At 46.5% G+C, this 17,575-nt stretch overlaps 1 protein-coding gene across 10 annotated transcripts in view, besides 2 other annotated features; it reads left to right on the forward strand.

Moving 5' to 3' along the window:
* ARMC9 (armadillo repeat containing 9) overlaps positions 1–17,575 on the forward strand; it is a 178,218-nt gene that overhangs the window by 125,785 nt on the left and 34,858 nt on the right. For 9 of the 10 annotated variants that reach the window (NR_148040.2, NM_001271466.4, NM_001352754.2 and 6 more), the window contains one exon: positions 7,378–7,482. The exons of the other annotated variant lie outside the window; for it this stretch is intronic. Coding sequence is in view for 8 of the 9 variants with exons in the window: in NM_001271466.4 (NP_001258395.2) it covers positions 7,378–7,482 (105 nt within the window). In the remaining variant the exon portion in view is untranslated. The remainder of the gene's footprint in view (positions 1–7,377; positions 7,483–17,575) is intronic. 10 annotated transcript variants of the gene reach the window in all.
* Positions 7,850–8,807: an enhancer, noted in NCBI's record as "H3K27ac-H3K4me1 hESC enhancer chr2:232196977-232197934 (GRCh37/hg19 assembly coordinates)". NCBI's record gives its function as "activates a minimal SCP1, AML or CMV promoter by ChIP-STARR-seq in naive H9 embryonic stem cells {active_cell/tissue: H9 hESC(naive)}" and the evidence as "EXISTENCE:reporter gene assay evidence [ECO:0000049][PMID:30033119]".
* Positions 11,957–12,457: an enhancer, noted in NCBI's record as "H3K4me1 hESC enhancer chr2:232201084-232201584 (GRCh37/hg19 assembly coordinates)". NCBI's record gives its function as "activates a minimal SCP1, AML or CMV promoter by ChIP-STARR-seq in naive H9 embryonic stem cells {active_cell/tissue: H9 hESC(naive)}" and the evidence as "EXISTENCE:reporter gene assay evidence [ECO:0000049][PMID:30033119]".

Below are 17,575 nucleotides of genomic sequence, written 5' to 3' on the forward strand. Positions count from 1 at the left end.
ATAAAGTACGTTTAATTAAAAAACAGCTTTGTTTTAATTAAAAAAAAAAAAAAAGGCCAAGCACAGTGGCTCACGCCTGTAATCCCAGCACTTCGGGAGGCCAAGGTGGGCAGATCACCTGAGGTTGGGAGTTCGAGACCAGCCTGACCAACATGAAGAAACCCCGTCCCTACTGAAAATACAAAATTAGTAGTGGCGCCTGCCTATAATCCCAGCTACTCGGGAGGCTGAGGCGAGAGAATCACTTGAACCGAGGAGGCGGAGGTTGTGGTGAGTGGAGATCACACCATTGCACTCAGCCTGGGCAACAAAAGCAAAACTCCATCTCTAAATAGATAACTAACTAAATAAATAAATAAATAAAATAAACCAAAATGAAGACAGGTACAGTGACTCACGCCTATAACCCTAGCTATTCAGAGGCTGAGGCAGAAGATCGCTTGAGCCCAGGAGTTCAAGTCCAGCCTGAGCAACATAGCAAAACCCCATCTCAAAAAAAAAAATTTTGTTTAATTAAAACAAAACGAGCTGGGTGCAGTGGCTCATGCCTGTAATCCCAGCACTTTGAGAGTCCGAGAGGGGTGGATCACTTGAGCTCAAGAGTTTGAGACCAGCCTGGGCAACATGGAAAAACCCTGTCTCTACCAAAAATACAAAAATTAGCCAGGCGTACTGGTACATGCCTGTGGTCCCAGCTACTTGGGAGGCTGAGGTAGGAGGATCACTGGAGCCTGGGAAGTTGAGGCTGCAATGGGGCCCTTGATTACGCCACTGCTTTCCAGCATGGGAGACAGAGCAAGAGACCCTGTCTCAGAAAATAATAACAATAAATAAAATAAAATGGAATAAATAACTTTAACTTGTGATTGAGATGTGTTGTTTGCTAGTTTGTGTTTATGTAAGTTGATTTGCAAGTAAATGGGTCTTACATATGTACTTGTCCAGGATAAAGAAACACTTTTGCTGGCATTGACTGAAGTTAGCCATTGACTATGTGTTTCTCGTTGAAATGGAATATGGACATTTATTTTGTTTCTTAATGTTTCGTATTCCCTCCTGGCAGGGAAGTAGTGTCTCACCAATACCTTGGTGAAACTGTGATTCCAATGCCCATTTCCAGCTGGGGCCTCTGAGGCTCTGTCCCCTGGAGAAGAGGTGAAACACTACTCCATGCCCAGAGCTCCCTGCCACTCACTCAGACCACAGAGCTGCTGCTTTGGTTCACAAGGAGTACTCATTTTCCTAAAATTCATCATAAAATGCACACACACCCTTTGATCACTGAGATGTTGTTATTTTGGTGAAGTACTCTAAGCCAAGGCAACAACCTCAATCTTCCGTAACCGTCCCAGAGTTGACTTGGGGTAGGGCCTCACAACAGGATTACCTTTAAGGAAATTTCAGGACAGCGGGTCTGCTAGCACTTGGCAGAGCTGGCAACTCAGGTGCAGCAGCAGAAGAAGGTGGCTGCCCTCACCATAGGGCATGAGTCCCAACTAGAGCTTAAATCGCAGTGGTAACTGTGAGCCTGGGCCCTGGGTGGGGCAAGAGTGGATTCTCCATTTGTGATTAGACAAGAGAAGGGGAGAGAGAGGGACGAGACCCTGAACTTCAGATGCCACTATAGCCCTCCCTCCCATTACTCTCTGTGTCCTGTTGAGCTCAGTCTTAGCCAGGCAGCAGGGACCCAAGCTGTCCAGCCTGTACCTCCTCAGAAACAGGCTTCTTCTGTGGGGCCCCAAGAGGCCAAGTCAAAGACCTGGGCAGAAAGGGGCTGCCCCAAGCTTAAAGTCCAGATTCCTAGACTCAGAGCTGGGCTACTGCTGTGGATTTGTCACTTCTCTGGGCCTCTGTTTCCACACCAGGAAAATCCACACCAAGCCATTGTGAAAGTTAAGATGTAAAGTGCTATGGAAATGTAAGGTGGGTTCCTTAATTATTCTATGACAAGGGACATCAAATAAATGCCCCCAAATGCAAGCTAGCAGGAGCAGCATCTCCTCAGTAGCCCCTTCCCTGAGTAAGATGGTGCTGATTGTTGGAAAAGGCTCTGGATTGATCTGGGGCCTGCCTCTTATTCTGCTGGTTCAGGCCTGTCTTTGGGGACAGCCTAGAGTAAGTCGAATCCCCTTTTCTTAGGACAGCCCATCCCAAGGTGACACCATCTAGTGATGGCAGGTGGCACTGACTATGTGGTTGAGAGAGTGGAGAGGCGGGGTAGCTTCCCCCAGCGCAGCCCTAGGACAGGCAGCATCACATTTCAAGGCCCAGTTCCCAGCCACAACCTGCCTTCCAGGCCCAGGAGGTTGAGCCTTCATATTCCTTGGAAACTGACTGGGGCAAATCAAACTCACCAAAGACCAGAACATCCTGAATAACTAGAAATTAGTCGGAAATGAAGACAGGGTACTCATTTTTGCAGAATAGAGCTTTCTCTGCCTGTTGGCAAGTGTCAAGGAGCCAATTATAGTCATTAGATTGTTGGGTGGGCCAGGAGTCAAAGGGAAGGACTGGCTAGATGATCTTAGGGAACACTGTCACCAGGAGATGATGGCCTGCCCTCCCCCTGCACCCTTAGACCACTCCAGCACTTGGCTGCCACCTTCCTCCAGGGCCCCTCCTTCCCATTTTTCCCTCCATAGCCAGCAGCTTCCCTCTTTCTGAGTTAATATTTGTATTGCTCTTTGTAATTTAACCTGCAAAGGACAGTCTAAGGTTGGCCGGAAGCTTTGGCAGGGACGAGGAAGGGGCAGTGCACGCTCCCCCATGATTGTGTGTGCCGTTCGGTCGGCGTTCGAGTATACAGAGCCTTGTGACATCTCACATATGCTCGTTTTTTAATTTTTAACTCTTCTGTTTTTAATTCAAGATCAGAACGTTTCCATCACTCAAGGATCCCTCATAGAAGGATCCCTTTTACAGCCACCGCCATTTCCTCCTTAACACCTGGCAACCACTAATCTGTTCTCCATTTCTATAATTTTATCATTTCCAGAATGTTATAGAAATGGAATCATATAGTATGCAACCATTGAGGACTGGCTTTTTTCACCAACATCATTCTCCGGAGATCCATCCAGGCTTGTGTACATCAGTAGTTCCTTTTCTTTCTGAGTAGTATTCTGTGGTGTGTATGTACCACATTTGTTTACCTGTTCTCTTGTTGAAGGGCATCTACTGTTTCCAGTTTGGGGCTATTATGAATAAAGCTGCCATGAAACATTCATATACAGATTTTTGTATGCCAACAAGTTTTTATTTCTCTGGGATAAATGCCCAGGAGTATAATTGCTGGTTCTGTATAGTTGCATGTTTACCTCTTTAAGAAATTGCCGAAATGTAGTTGCATGTTTAGCTTTTTTTGTTTTTGTTTTTTTGGTTTTTTTTGACACTGAGTCTTGCTCTGTCACCCAGGCTGGAGTGCGGTGGCATGATCTCGGCTCACTGCAACCTCTGCCTCCCGGGCTCAAGTGATTCTCATGCTTCAACCTCCAAAGTAGTTGGGATTACAGGCACATGCCACCAGGCCTGGCTAATTTTTGTTTTTTTCGTAGAGACGGTGTTTCGCCATGTTGCCCAGGCTGGTCTCAAACTCCTGATTCAAGTGATTCGCTCGCCTCGGCTTTCCAAAGTGCTGGGATTACAGGCATAACCCACTGCTCCTGGCCTGTTTTTGCCATTCTAATAGGCATGTAGTGATATCTCATTGTGGTTTTAATTTGCATTTCCTTAATGGCTAATGATATTGAACATCTTTTCATGTGCTTATTGCCATCTGTATATTCTCCCTGGTGAAATGTCTCTTCATGTCTTTTGCCCATTTTCTAATTAGATTGTTTGGGTATTTTGAATGTTGAGTTTTGAGAGTTCTTTATTTTAGTTACTAGTCTTCTGCTGAATATGTGGTTTCCAAATACTTTCTCCCTGTCTATAACTTTCCTTTTTATCTTCTTAACAGCGTCTTTTCACCGAACAAGTTTTTAAGTTTTTTGATGAAATTCATTTTATCAATTTTTTCCTTTTATGGGTGTTCTAAAAATGTGTTAGTTTTACGTTTAAGTCCATGATTCATTTCGAGTTGATTTTTATGTAAGATACGAGAATTAGATTGAGGTTCAGTTTTTTTCCTACAAATGTTCAATTTCTCCAGCACTATTTGTTGAAAGGACTATCCTTTCTCATTGAATTTCTTTTGTACCTTAGTCTAAAACCCACTGGACATATTTGTGTAGGTCCATTTTGGAGTTCTCTGTTCCATTCCATTGATCTATGTGTCTGTCCCTCTACCAGTAGCATACAATCTGGACTACTAAGCTTGAAATCATGTAGATTGATTCTTCCCATATATTGTTCTTCTTTTTCAAAGTTGTCTTAGCGTGTTCAATTTTCTTTTCTTTTCTTTTCTTTTTTTTTTTTTGAGTCGGAGTCTTGCTCTGTCGCCCAGGCTGGAGTGCAATGGGACAATCTCGGCTCACTGCAAGCTCCGCCTCCCGGGTTCACACCATTCCCCTGCCTCAGCCTCCCAAGTAGCTGGGACTACAGGAACCCACCACCACGGCGGGCTACTTTTTTTTGTATTTTTTAGTAGAGACAGGGTTTCACCATGTTAGTTAGCCAGAATGGTCTTGATCTCCTGACCTCATGGTCCACCCACCTCGGCCTCCCAAAGTGCTGGGATTACAGGCGTGAGCCACCGCGCCCGGCCAACGTGTTTAATTTTCTTTGCCCTTTCCATATAGATTTTAGAATAATCTTACTTATGACTACAAAATATCTTGCTGGGATTTTGATAGAAATTCCTTTACACCTGTAAATAAATATGGGGAGAACTATGTTGAGTCTTCTTGATTCATGAACGAGGTGTGGTTCTGTATTTATTTGAATTTTTGATTTCTTTTTTCTTTTCTTTTTTGAGACAGAATTTTGCTCTTTTTGCCCAAGCTGGAGTGCAGTGGCGTGATCTTGGCTCACTTCAACCTCCGCCTCCTGGGTTCAAGTGATCCTCCTGCCTCAGCCTCTGAGTAGCTGGGATTACAGGCATGCGCCACCACGCCCAGCTAATTTTGTATTTTTAGTAGAGATGGGTTTTCACCATGTTGGTCAGGCTGGTCTTGAACTACTGACCTCAGGTGATCCGCCCATCTCAGCCTCCCAAAGTACTGAGATTACAGGTGTGAGCCACCGCGCCCGGCAGATTTCTTTCACTAGATTTTTGTAGTTCTCAGCATACAAATGTTGTATATGTTTTGTTAGATTTATGCCTATTTCTCTTTTTTTGAGCACTTGTAAATGGCATTGTATTTTTAATTTCAATGTTCGTGTGTTCCTTACTAGTATACAGAAATTGATTTTATATGTCTTTCTTATATCCTGTGAGCTTTTTGAATTCATTACTTCTAGGAGGGTTTTTTGTGTGTGTATGTGGTTTCTTTGTAGATTCCTTATTTCTACATAGACAGTCATATTATGTGCAAATAGGGATAGTTTTTCTTCCTTTTCTCATCTGTATGGCTTTTATTTGCTTTTCTTGCCTTGTCAGGACTCCTTTTCCTACAAATGTTCAATTTCTCCAGCACTATTTGATGAGATAACTATCCTTTCTCATTGAATTTCTTTTGTACCTTAGTCTTAAACCCACTGGACATATTTGTGTAGGTCCATTTTGGAGTTCTGTGTTCCATTCCATTGATCTATGTGTCTGCCCCTCTGCCAGTAGCATACAATGTGGACTACTATAGCTTGAAATCATGTAGATCGATTCTTACCATATTGTTTTCAAAATTGTCTTAGCGTGTTCAATTTTCTTTTTCTTTCTTTTTTTTTTTTTTTTGAGACGGAATCTCGCTCTGTCACCCAGACTGAAGTACGATGGCGCAATTTCGTCTTCTAATTACTGCCAGGTTTGAGTAGAATTCCAGGTTCCATGCTTGGCCTGGTTGACACCAGATGATGGGGGGTCCCGGAAACCCACTACGCCTCCACTAATGCCTCCCTGCCTAGAAGGGACGAGAGTGCCCCGTCACTCACTGCGCCCCACATGGCTCCTCCAACACCACCCCAGGAAGGGTGTGAGGGGCATCTGGTCACTGCCAAGTGTGGGTAGAAGTCTGGGCTCCCACCTGGTCTTCACTTACATTGTGGGGTGGGGGCCTCCTTACCACCCAGCAGGGATGAAACTGCTGCCTACCCAGCCTTCTCTGGTATAGAGAACCCACCGCCAGGGGTGTTGGGGTGTGCGGCCCAGCCTGGTGAGGGTACAGCTGGGGCTCCTGAGGCCCTTGCTGGCGCAGGTGGGAGTGGAGCTACCATATTTTCTCCAGTGTTTATTTCCTAAAATCTTCCTGTCATGCCAGCCTTCCCCTGTCAGGTCCTTTGGCTAAAGGAAGCAGGCTTTGGGTAAAGGAAGCAGGCTTTGGCTAAAGGAAGCAGGCTTTGGGGGGCTTTTTTTGTTTTCACCATTGACATTTCTGGGTTGTTGGTTTCTTGGGCTCCAGGTGTGGCATATATGAAACAAAAAGAAAACCCAGGCAACCTGGGTAACCTGGCAAAACCTCGTCTATACAAAAAAATACAAAAAGTAGCCGGATGTGGTGGCATACACCTGTAGTTCCAGCTACTTGGGAGGCTGAGAAGGGAGGATCACTTGAGCCCAGGAGGTCAAGGGCACAATGACCTGTGATCATGCCACTGCACTGCAGCCTGGGTGACAGAGCGAGACCCTATCTCAAAAAAGAAAAGAAAACCCAGGGAAGTCACCAGCTGTCATCCTTGGGTCTCAAGGCCCCTAGGCAGTCTGCTTTCATCTCTCCATCTTTCAGAGTCACTTTATGTTTCTTTTATAGGTAGTGTCCAGTGTTTTTGGTTGTACGTAGTGGGAGGAATATGGAAAGGAACATCCACTGGGTCTTCCCAGAAGCAGAACGGTGCTGCCCTTTTTGCTGAGTCTTGTTACTTATTGGCTGTAAACGTTCTTGAGATGAGCAGACCTGTTCTAGAGTTCCCTATCCCCCATAAGGCCTGTGTATGACTGACTGGCTGTTCTATATGGTGCCTTGATCTCACAGAGAGAGAAGTTCTGAGAACTGTGATTAGGAGAGACTTTAAAGAGCCTTCTGGAACCTCCGCACAACTAAGCAGTGGAGGCTCCCTAGCTCCCTAGCTTCCTGAAGAGGCTGGTTGGCCTTGTCCCTTTGGTCTTCATGGAGAGGTTGGGAGCAGAGGCAGACTGCCCCTGAGCCCCCTTGGAATATAAGCCTGCAAGTTGCTGTGATTGGCCGAGGCCTTCTTGTTTCATGACAGCTACACATTCTGGGGAGCCACGCCTTGGGAGCTTGTGTCAGGGTGTCCATGGCATTCACCCCATGTCTCCTGAAACAGGAGGACCATGACATCATGGAAGCCGATCTGGACAAAGACGAACTGATCCAGCCCCAGCTCGGAGAACTCTCAGGAGAGAAGCTTCTGACCACGGAGTACCTGGGGGTAAGTGCCACACAAAGGGTGGGGATCCTGAAACAGAAAGGCCAGATGGACATTGATGGATTTCGTGTTTTCAGTGACACAGAGGGTTTAGTTTGGTTTGTTACCATACTGTATTTATGAGAAGGTCCATGTTAGCCAGTCTGCTCTCAGTGGCCCTGAAATGCACTGTGGCCCTAGCTACCTGTCACAAGTAGACAGGTGTACGGATTGGGGAAAGATATAACTAGAAGGCATATGCCAGGGGCCTTTGGAACATCAGAAGATATGCCTGGCCCCAGTAGCAATTGCCTACCATCCCACTTTTTAATTTCTGCATGCCTTATGTATTGGAAGGGAATACTGAGGTAGACTTGGAAGTCCTTGGCGCAGAGGTGTTGGCTGAAACCATCATAGCCCATGAGGTTACCCACTGAAGCACAGTGTGGAGAGAGAGTGGGGGCTGAGCAAGGAGGGGCATTCCAGCAGTCAGGAGTGGGAGAAAGGAGAGGACCCGAGAAGGCCAGAAAGTGAGTAGTCACTGCGTCTTCAGGAGAACTGAAGAGGGTTATGGAAACAGAAGGGAGAGGTGTTTCAGGATGGAGCCAGTGGTCAGTGCAAGCATCCAAGAGGCCTGTGGAGTCACCATCTGGGATGGGTCCTTAAGCTGACCTGTGAGAGCTCCCGTTGGCTCGGATGCTCAGCCAGCTCCAGAACCACTGGCTTACGACCCACCAGCTAAATAGGGCAGGATGTGAGTCAGGAGGAAGCAGCCACTCCTCAGGAGAGGATAGCAGTGCCAGGGCCCGCAGATATCTCAGAGAGCAGGTAGGGGGGCCTGGTGGGATGCTGGAGTGTAAGGGTCTGGAAGGGAGGAGCAATTGCCAGGAACCAGGACCAATTCAGACTGAAACCCTGTGTGGGACAGCTGAGCACATAGGGTAGAAGAGTCACTAAAAGAGGCTCCTAGAACTTTGAAGCTGGTGGTTGCTTCAGTCAGTTGTTTGGACCCCAAAGTCTTCCTCACGGCCAGCAGGTTGGTGTTGGAGAAGAAGGGTGGAGCCAGCGTCTCAACAGTTGACTGGCACAGCCAGAGCCTTGGGAAGGAGAAAGACGATGCATGCAGGTGGCCTGAGGCTTTATGGGAGCAGGTGGAAGCAGAAAGTGCCTGCCAGGTCCCGTTGCCACCCCCAACCCAGACCCTTGGCACCTCCCCAGGACACTGGGCCCCCTGGTCACCTGGCCCTCATCTCTTCCTCATCATCTGTGGAACTTCAGGGATTCTAGGCTGGAGTGCAGTGCTTGGTGGTGGGACTTCAGGTTGGAGAGAGAGCCACAGTCCAGATCATGTGGCTTTGTAGGTCATGGCAAGGGTTTGGGATTTTATTTACAAGAGCTAGGACGCCACTGGAGGTGAGAGCAAGGAAGTGACTCGGTTTGACTCATGTTCTAACATATCCACTACATTTTCACTCTGCTGCTTTGTGAAGGCAGGGAGGTGACTGATGGAGGCTGGGGGGCGGGGAACCACCGCGAACCCCTTCAGGGATAGGGGTTGCTGGGCAGTACCTGCCATTCCTTAGAACATCTCAAGGATTAAAGTAGTCTAATTGGCTGTGGAGCTGTTTACATTAGGTGGAGCAGGGAGGTGCTCAGGAAAGGTCAGAAGTGCAGCCGTCAAGGTTCCAAGTTGTTGATGGAAGCCTAAGGCTTGACTAGGCCTCTGTCGCCCTTTGGAAGAGCGCTGGTTTTGTCAGAGACGCGGCTCCGTGTGATTGGTTTCACAGGCAGGCGGTGAGGAAAACAGAGGAGGCAAATTGGTGGGGCTTCCTCAGAGGGCACGTGTTGATACCTGTTGAGACCGCGACGCATGTACCCCTGACCACACTACCGCACAGACAGACACGCAGGCACGTAAACATGAGCAAGGATGGCCATTTGCAGCCAGGTCAGACAGAAGCTTGAATACAGCGCTCAGTTAATAATCTAGAGGACCTCTCCCCGGCAAAATGCCATGGGGGAGGATCTTCTGTTGATATGGTAAACATCTTCAGTAACAACAAAAAAGCAAGGTGCAGAACGTGGTGAGACTGCTAGTTTAATCATGCAGATTGGTGAGGCGCAAAGGCACAGAGCTTTCAAATCAATCAGTAACCCCAGTTTAATGGCATCTGGAAATGGTACCATCTTACCATAATATGCAGTTCTAAACCTCCTAAATGTTTATGGATGATCCTTTTACTAGAAGGAAACCATGGGTGGACATGTGAGTACTGAGAAACACAGAAAGAATCCACTGTGAAGATGGGAAGAGCCAGTACAATTTGGTATTTCCCGTGGCTGCAGTAACAAAGCACCACTAACTGCAGACTTAAAACAGCAGAAATGTATTCTGTCTTCGTTTTGAAAGGCAGAAATCCAAAATCAAGGTATCCTTAGGGCTCAGCTCCCCCGAAGGACTCTATGGGAGGATCCTTCTTGCCTCTTCCAGCCTCTGGTGGCCCCAGGCCATGCTTGGCTTGTGGCTGCAACATGCCAATCCCTGGCCTGCCTTCACATGGCCTTCCCCTCTTCTGTCTTTTGTAAGGACACTTGTTCCCCCGGGTGACCCAGGATGAGTTCTTCCTCTCAAGGGTCCTTATTACATCTACAAGGGTCTTTTTTCCAAATAAACTCATTCACAGTTTCCAGGGGTCAGGACATGGGCATAGCTTCTGGGGGCCACCATTCAGCTGACCACACCAGGTCACCATAGGATCTCATGAATATTTTGATTAGAAAATTTAACGTGGAGCAGTAAGCGCTGAGGCCGGATGCACTCCCAGCACTGCCCCTGTTCATGAGTCATCCCCCACCGCCCTGTCACCCGGTCTTGTGATCTGACATTGCCAGCCTGCCAGCCTCTGTGTGCCGGGTTGGGGATCTCAGAAGATGGGATTCCCACCTTGTCATGCCCTTGCTCTTGTGGTGCGTGAAAAGCCTTTAAATTCACATTTTTGTCGCGTTTTGTGTGTGTGCCAAGCTGAGGAGCTCTGACCAAGATAGAAGACGTTTCACTGGGAAATATGTGCCTGAAAGTCATGATCCAGGCCCCTTGTTCCGATGTACTGGGTACATTGCAGATTTTTCAAGATGACTCTAAAGATGTTGGCGTTTTGAAACATTCTGTCAGAAAATTGTATTCAAAAAGCTTTGAGTGAACCTGTGCCATCTGCCCAACACAGCGGAATGCCGAAGAGGCTTAAGACACAGCTGTTACCGTCAAGAAGTTTTCAGAAGGCACCAAACAGATAAAACTGCTCTTGCTGAGTGGGGTAGATAACAGCTGGTCAGTGGCCAGCAGGTGTGATCCTGCAGGGTGAGAGCTAGTCCCAGACCACTGAATCTGGGTTAAGGATAGAGTCTAGGCCCTACCCTATACCTCCTGACCAAATCCCAGGAACCAATCATGGTGCACGCCAGTAATTTAAAAACCAACCAGCAGCTTGGGAGTAAGGGTGGAGGTGCGACTGGGGCGTCCGCCAGAGTGTTCGGGGATGGGAGGAAGCTATTCCCAGGATCCTGGACCAGTAGCCCACCTGTTCCCTGCAGGGCCACACTGCTAGTCCCCACCCTCAAAGTCTACCCACAGCTCCTCTGCTCTGCAGAGCACAGGCTATGCAAAATGCTGAAGAGCACGGCGATCTCAGAAAGCTAGGGACAGAGAATAGGTCATGCTTCCAAGGCTTGCGGGAGAGTAGCGATGGCCCCATGAGATGTGTTGCTTACTCGTAATTCTAGTGAAGCCATGTGCTGTGTTCTGCTATAGGCTGTGAACGTCAGAGTTCAAGACTGCTGACTTTCCTCCTGCTTCTCCTGCCTCTAGTATTTGTGAAATTTTTAGTACCGTGCATACCGTGCTGAGTAATCAACAATGCCTCTGGCCGGGTGCGGTGGCTGACGCGTGTGATTCCAAGACTTTGAGAGACGAGGTGGGAGGATCGCTTGAGCTCAGGAGTTCAGGACCAGCCTGGGCAATGTAGGGAAACCTTGTCTTTCCTAAAATTTTTTTAAAAATTAGCCAGGTATGGTGGCACGCACCTGTGGTCCCAGCTATTCAGGAGGCTGAGGTGGGAGGATCACCTGAGCCCAGGAGATGGAGGCTTCAGGGAGCTGTGATTGCACCACTACATTCCAGCCTTGGAGTGCAAAAATAAATAAATAAATTATTATTATAAAAATAAATAAATACAAATACAAATAGAAAACAATTCTTCTTAAGAAGAATGCCCTGACTTAAATAGCTCCATCACCTGGGTTAAAGGATATAAACATTTATGACAGAATCATAGAATCCCAGCTTTTTTTTTTTTTTAATTTCATAGTGACCTTTAACAGTAATAGGCAGATCTCAGATTAATTCAGTTCATGCCATGGGCCAAGCCCTGTGCTGACTGCTTCACACAACTCCATTTGACTGAATCCTCCCAGCAAACTTATGGGGCATCTTCCACTAGTATCTGCATTTTATAGAGGAGGGCGCTGAGGCTGAGAAAGGCTGAGTCGCTTCCAGGCGTCACCTGAGCCCACCTGCCTTTTACCACTCAGCCGGGCCGCCTTGCAGCAGCGCTGGCCGTTGTCAGGTGAGTGGATTCTGTACTTGCAAGTTGAGAGAGCTGCGACCCGTGTGACATATTCGTAATAACTATATGATCTATGTTTTCGTCACAGACTCAGTTTTGGGGGAAATGCCTATAGTGAATGCTAATTGCTCCCTTTCCACACTTCCTTTCCCCTCCATCAAGTGAGAACCCAAATTCATTTAGTTTTCCTAAGAATCCCCGAAAGGGCTGGTTAAAGTGCAGGTTCCTGGCCCCACATCCAGAGAATCTGAGGCTGTGGCAGTGCCCCAGGAGTGTGCGTTTTTATTTTCCCCTAAAGTGGTTCTGAAGCAGGAGTCTGGGCCCTGGAGACTTGGCCCATTTGGACAGAACTCAGGGTGTTCATGGAGCTGCCCCCAGCCTGTCTTCTGCAGCATGGCACCGTGCAGAGCTGAGGCCCTCCTAGGCTGGGCTCAGACCTGGGCGAGCCCCTGGAGACAGGAGAGGGCCCTGGGATCCTGCTGTACCCGGTCCTGCTGTGCCTAGAGGGGCAGAAGCATGAGGTGGCTTGCAGCGGGCCCTGAGAGCTCCTGCCCCTCTCTGCTCACAACAAAAACCAAAACTAGAGGAGAAAAGGCCTCTGTTTCCAAATATTACTTTTCGGGTTTTTTTTCACATATGTCTCCACTTTGGGGCATTTCCTAATCCCTTTTCAGTCTATTATTCCTGCCCTGTGTGACTGTAATGGTTGAAGAGCCATTGCCTCTGCTTATTAGGGGATTTGTTGGAACTGACTCAATGTCTATACGTGTGTGTGTATATATATATATATATATATTTTTTTTTTTTTTTTTTTTTTTTTGAGACAGTGTCTCACTTTGTTGTCCCAGCTGGAGTGCAGTGGCACAATCTTGGCTCATTGCAGCCTCCGCCTCCCAGGTTCGAGGATTCTCCTGCCTCAGCCTCCTGAGTAGCTGGAATTACAGGCGCGCGCCACCACGCCCGGCTAATTTTTGTTTTTTTTTTTTTTTTTTGAGACAGAGTCTCGCTCTGTCGCCCAGGCTGGAGTTCAGTGGCGGGATCTCGGCTCACTGCAAGCTCCACCTCCCGGGTTCACGCCATTCTCCTGCCTCAGCCTCCCAAGTAGCTGGGACTACAGGCGCCCGCCACTACGCCCGGCTAGTTTTTGTATTTTTAGTAGAGACAGGGTTTCACCATGTTGATCAGGCTGGTCTCGAACTCCTGACCTCGTGAGCCACCTCACCCGGCCTCAATGTCTATATTCTTGTGCATGAAAACACAACCAAGTAAGCAGGGAAAAATCCCAAACCCCAAAATATCTTGAATCCTTTTCGTTTGCCATTTGTTTCTTATTCTTTTTTCTAATTACAAAAGAAATGTATGCTTATTCTAAAAAGTCAAAGTAACAGAACGTAAAGACCAACCCTAAGTCTACCCAACCAGAGGTAATCACTATCTCTTGTTGTCTTTCCTTATCAGTTAGGATTGGGCTGAGCTGCAAATAGCAGAGAGTCCTACCTTATCAATCCAGCTAAAAATTCCTGGCGGGTGGGGGCTGTCAGAGCCCAGGCTCTTTTCATCTCTTAGCGTGGCCCTGCCTGCCAGAAGGGCAGATTTAGGCTTTGTGGGTCCTCCAGCTTACAAGGGCTTGGGAGGCGTCCTCTAAAATAATGGAATGCAAAATTAGGTATCAAAGCGAGTGCTTCTGTGGAATGAGAATTAGAACATAAATCATAGTGAAGTTCACTTTTTTTTTTTTTTTTTAAAACAGTCTTGCTCTGCTGCCCAGGCTGGAGTGCAGTGGCGCAATCTCGGCTTACTGTAGCCTCCACCTCCCAGGTTCATGCAATTCTCGTGCCTCAGCCTCAGCCTCCCAAGAAGCTGGGACTACAGGCGTATGTGCCACTACGCCTGGCTAATTTTGGTATCATTGGTAGAGATGGGGTTTCACCATGTTGGCCAGGGTGGTCTCGAACTCCTGGCCTCAAGTGATCCACCTGCCTCAGCCTCTCAAAGTGTTGGGATTACAGGCATGAGCCACCTCGCCCGGCCCCAATTCACTTTTTTTTTTTTTTTTTTTTTTGCGACAGTGTCTCGCTCTGTCACACAGGCTGGAATGCGGTAGAGCAAACATGGCTCACTGTGGCTTCAACCTCCTAGGCTTAAACGATCTTCCCACCTCAGCCCCCCAAGTACAAATTCAAATGTTAAAAATTGGCAGATAACACAAACATTATAAAATCTAGAAAAATAATGTTTATATTAACTAGCTGCTTGGCAAACACCTCATAGTTTTTCTTCATATATCTTCTGTTTTATGCCCTTTGATTGCTTCTGTATATGGCAAATTAGTAATGTTTTACAAGCATAAACATAAAAATGTAATGTTTCTGTCTACATATATGAAGATGTTTTTAATGTTTTCTACCGAGAAAGAAAAAAAGATTAGCCTTTCCTGTAACATATTTGATCAAATTTTCTTAATATTGATTGATTAAAAAACTTTGTTTTGGCCTCACATTTAGTTCATGGTAATGCCCTGTAAATCTTTTTACTTAAAAATTATATGTATAGGCTGGGTGTGGTGGCTCACGCCTGTAATCCCAGCACTTTGGGAGGCCAAGGCGGGCAGATCACGAGGTCAGGAGTTCAAGACCAGCCTGGCCAACATGGTGAAACTCCGTCTCTACTAAAAATACAAAAATTAGCCAGGCGTGGTGGTGTGCATCTGTAATCCCAGCTACTCAGGAGGCTGAGGCAGGAGAATTGCTTGAACCTGGGAGGCAGAGGTTGCAGTGAGCCGAGATCGCGCCATTGCACTCTAGCTCTGGGCGACAGAGCAAGACTCTGTCTTGTGAAAAAAAAAAAAATTATATGTATTTTTAAAAGACAAAAATTTAAATCAACACCTGTAGAAAATAATAAAAAATAATACAAAAGAAAATGTTTATGTAAATTTTTGTTTTGTTTTGTTTTAGAGATATGATGTCACTCTGTCACCCAGGCTGGAGTGCAGTTGTGCAATCATAGCTCACTGCACCTCAAACTCCTGGGTGGCATTAAGCAATCCTCCTGCCTCAGCCTCTCAGAGTGCTGGGATAACAGGTGTAAGCCACTGTGCATGACCCGTTTTGTTATTAAATTTGAGAAAACCATCCTCAAGTTTCTTCCATAAAAACACTAGGCCGGGAGCAGTGGCTCACGCCTGTAATCCCAACACCTTGGGAGGCCGAGGTGGGCAGATCACCTGAATTCAAGACCAGCCTGGCCAACACGGTGAAACCGTATCTCTACTTAAAATACAAAAATTATTCAGGCGTGGTAGCACATGCCTGTAATCCCAGCTACTTGGAAGGCTAAGGCAGGAGTAATCGCTTGAACCCAGGAGGCAGAGGTTGCAGCGGGCCAAAATCACGACATTGCACTCCAGCCTGGGTGACAAGAGTGAAACTCTGTCTCAACCACAACAACAGCAAACACTATATAGGGGAGGCAAAATTTTACCTTTCTCCCTTAGCATTTTTGGCTGGGCCTGAGAATTAAATTGATGTAAAACAGATACACAGGAGAAAAGCATATACATTCTATAAGTTTTATGTGACATGGGAGCTCTCCTGCAGAAACGAAGGGAAAAGAACTGGCAGAACCTAAATGCTTTTAAACTAGGTTGAACAAAGAGAGGCAATGGTGGAAAAGTTACCAAATTATATGGGGAGGCTAAAGGAAGACAAGAATCATGTTACCCAGGTCTGTTTGTACAGAATTCTCTCAGCTCTGACAACATGTGGTTTTTTTCTTCTGGTACCCGGAGAGCATCTTTCACATGGGAGTTTTTATCGCTTGTTTTCAGGAAGAAAAGAGGAAGATTAGAATGTCCTTCTTGCATCAAGCGCCTTTACCTCAAAATAATCCTAAGCCAAAGTGGCTTATTTTGGAATGGCATATTCTGCCACCCCTTAACTGTAACTGGGGGCATTTGAAGTTTTCTTGCACACTGATTATTCACAAATACTCTAACAACATAGAGAATTACTAGAGACCATTCCTACACCAGGACAGATAGCAATCATTTGACTATGCATGGAAGGTACTGTGAATCATGGAAATTTTTCCCACTAAATCTAAATTAAGGCCAGGCTGAGTGGCTCACTCCTGTAATCCCAGCACTTTGGGAGGCTGAGGCAAGTGGATCACCTGAGGTCAGGAGTTCGAGACCAGCCTGGCCAGCATAGTGAAACCCCGTCTCTACTAAAAACACAAAAAATTAGCCAGGCATGGTGGCACATGCCTGTAGTCCCAGCTACTCGGGAAGCTGAGGCAGGAGAATCGCTTGAACCCGGGAGACGGAGGTTGCAGTGAGCCAAGATCGCGCCACTGTACTGCCGCCTGGGCAACAGAGCAAGCTCCGTCTCAAAACAAACAAACAAACAAACAAAAAACAAGTGTAGGGCTGGGCATGGTGGCTCGTGTGTAATCCCAGTGCTTTGGGAGGCTGAGGAATGAGGATCACTTGAGGCCAGGAGATCAAGACCAGCCTCAGCAACAATAGGAAGGCCCGTCTCTACAGATTAATTAGCTATGGTGACGCATGCCTGTAGTCTCAGCTACTTGGGAGGCTGAGACGGGAGGATCATTTGAGCCTAGGAGTTCAAGGCTTCAGTGAGCTATGATTGCACCACTGCACTCCAGCCTAGGTGGCAGAGCAAGACCTTGTCTAAAAAACCTACACATACATAAAATGACCATGTGACACATTAAGTTTCATTAGCTCTGGTAATTCTGCCTTGATGTCTTCATTCACATGCCTGTTGCCTCTTGATCATATGATGACGGGTACACTTCCTGGCACAAATCTGTGATCAACTCAGGAAGAAAGCCAAATGTGCAGGTCAGCCAAATCTGCCCCTACAGTGCTTTCCTGAAGCTCCACTTGGTGACCTCCACTTAACTAACTGGTCAAAACTGGGTCCTATGGCCCCTAGCTGCACGGGAGTCTGGGAGGTGAGTATTTTTAAGTAGACACATTGCCGTGCCGACAAAATCAGTTCTGTTGGTCAGGAAGGAGAGGGTGAATATTATGTAGACTGCTAACAGTGTCTGCCTCCCCTTTCAGATTATTTTCTATGTGTACAGAGATATAGATGATTGATTGATAGATAGATAGATGATAGATAGATAGATAGATAGATAGATAGATAGATAGAGTATACCTGTATTTTTTTACAGAAATTCATACTGCTTTATAATGTCTTTAAGTGATTCACAAATACTCAAAACCAATTAGTAAGAAATTTTTTTTACCTAAATTGACATGTTGACCAACTTTTACTACTGAGTAAATTGCATTCAGCTAAATAATATGCTCTTTTTTTATTGTGCTTAAATATGCTGCATTTTTTAGTAGCAGAACCTTCTTTCAAATAAATAATCTCCGTCTGTAACACTGATGAAAGCCGGGTTCTCTGAATGAGTACAGGTGGATGTGAGGAGCCCTTGCTCTCCTCTCTCCCCAGACC

The sequence above is a fragment of the Homo sapiens genome, chromosome 2, assembly GCF_000001405.40.
Source record: "Homo sapiens chromosome 2, GRCh38.p14 Primary Assembly".
NCBI classification, from domain to species: domain Eukaryota; kingdom Metazoa; phylum Chordata; class Mammalia; order Primates; family Hominidae; genus Homo; species Homo sapiens.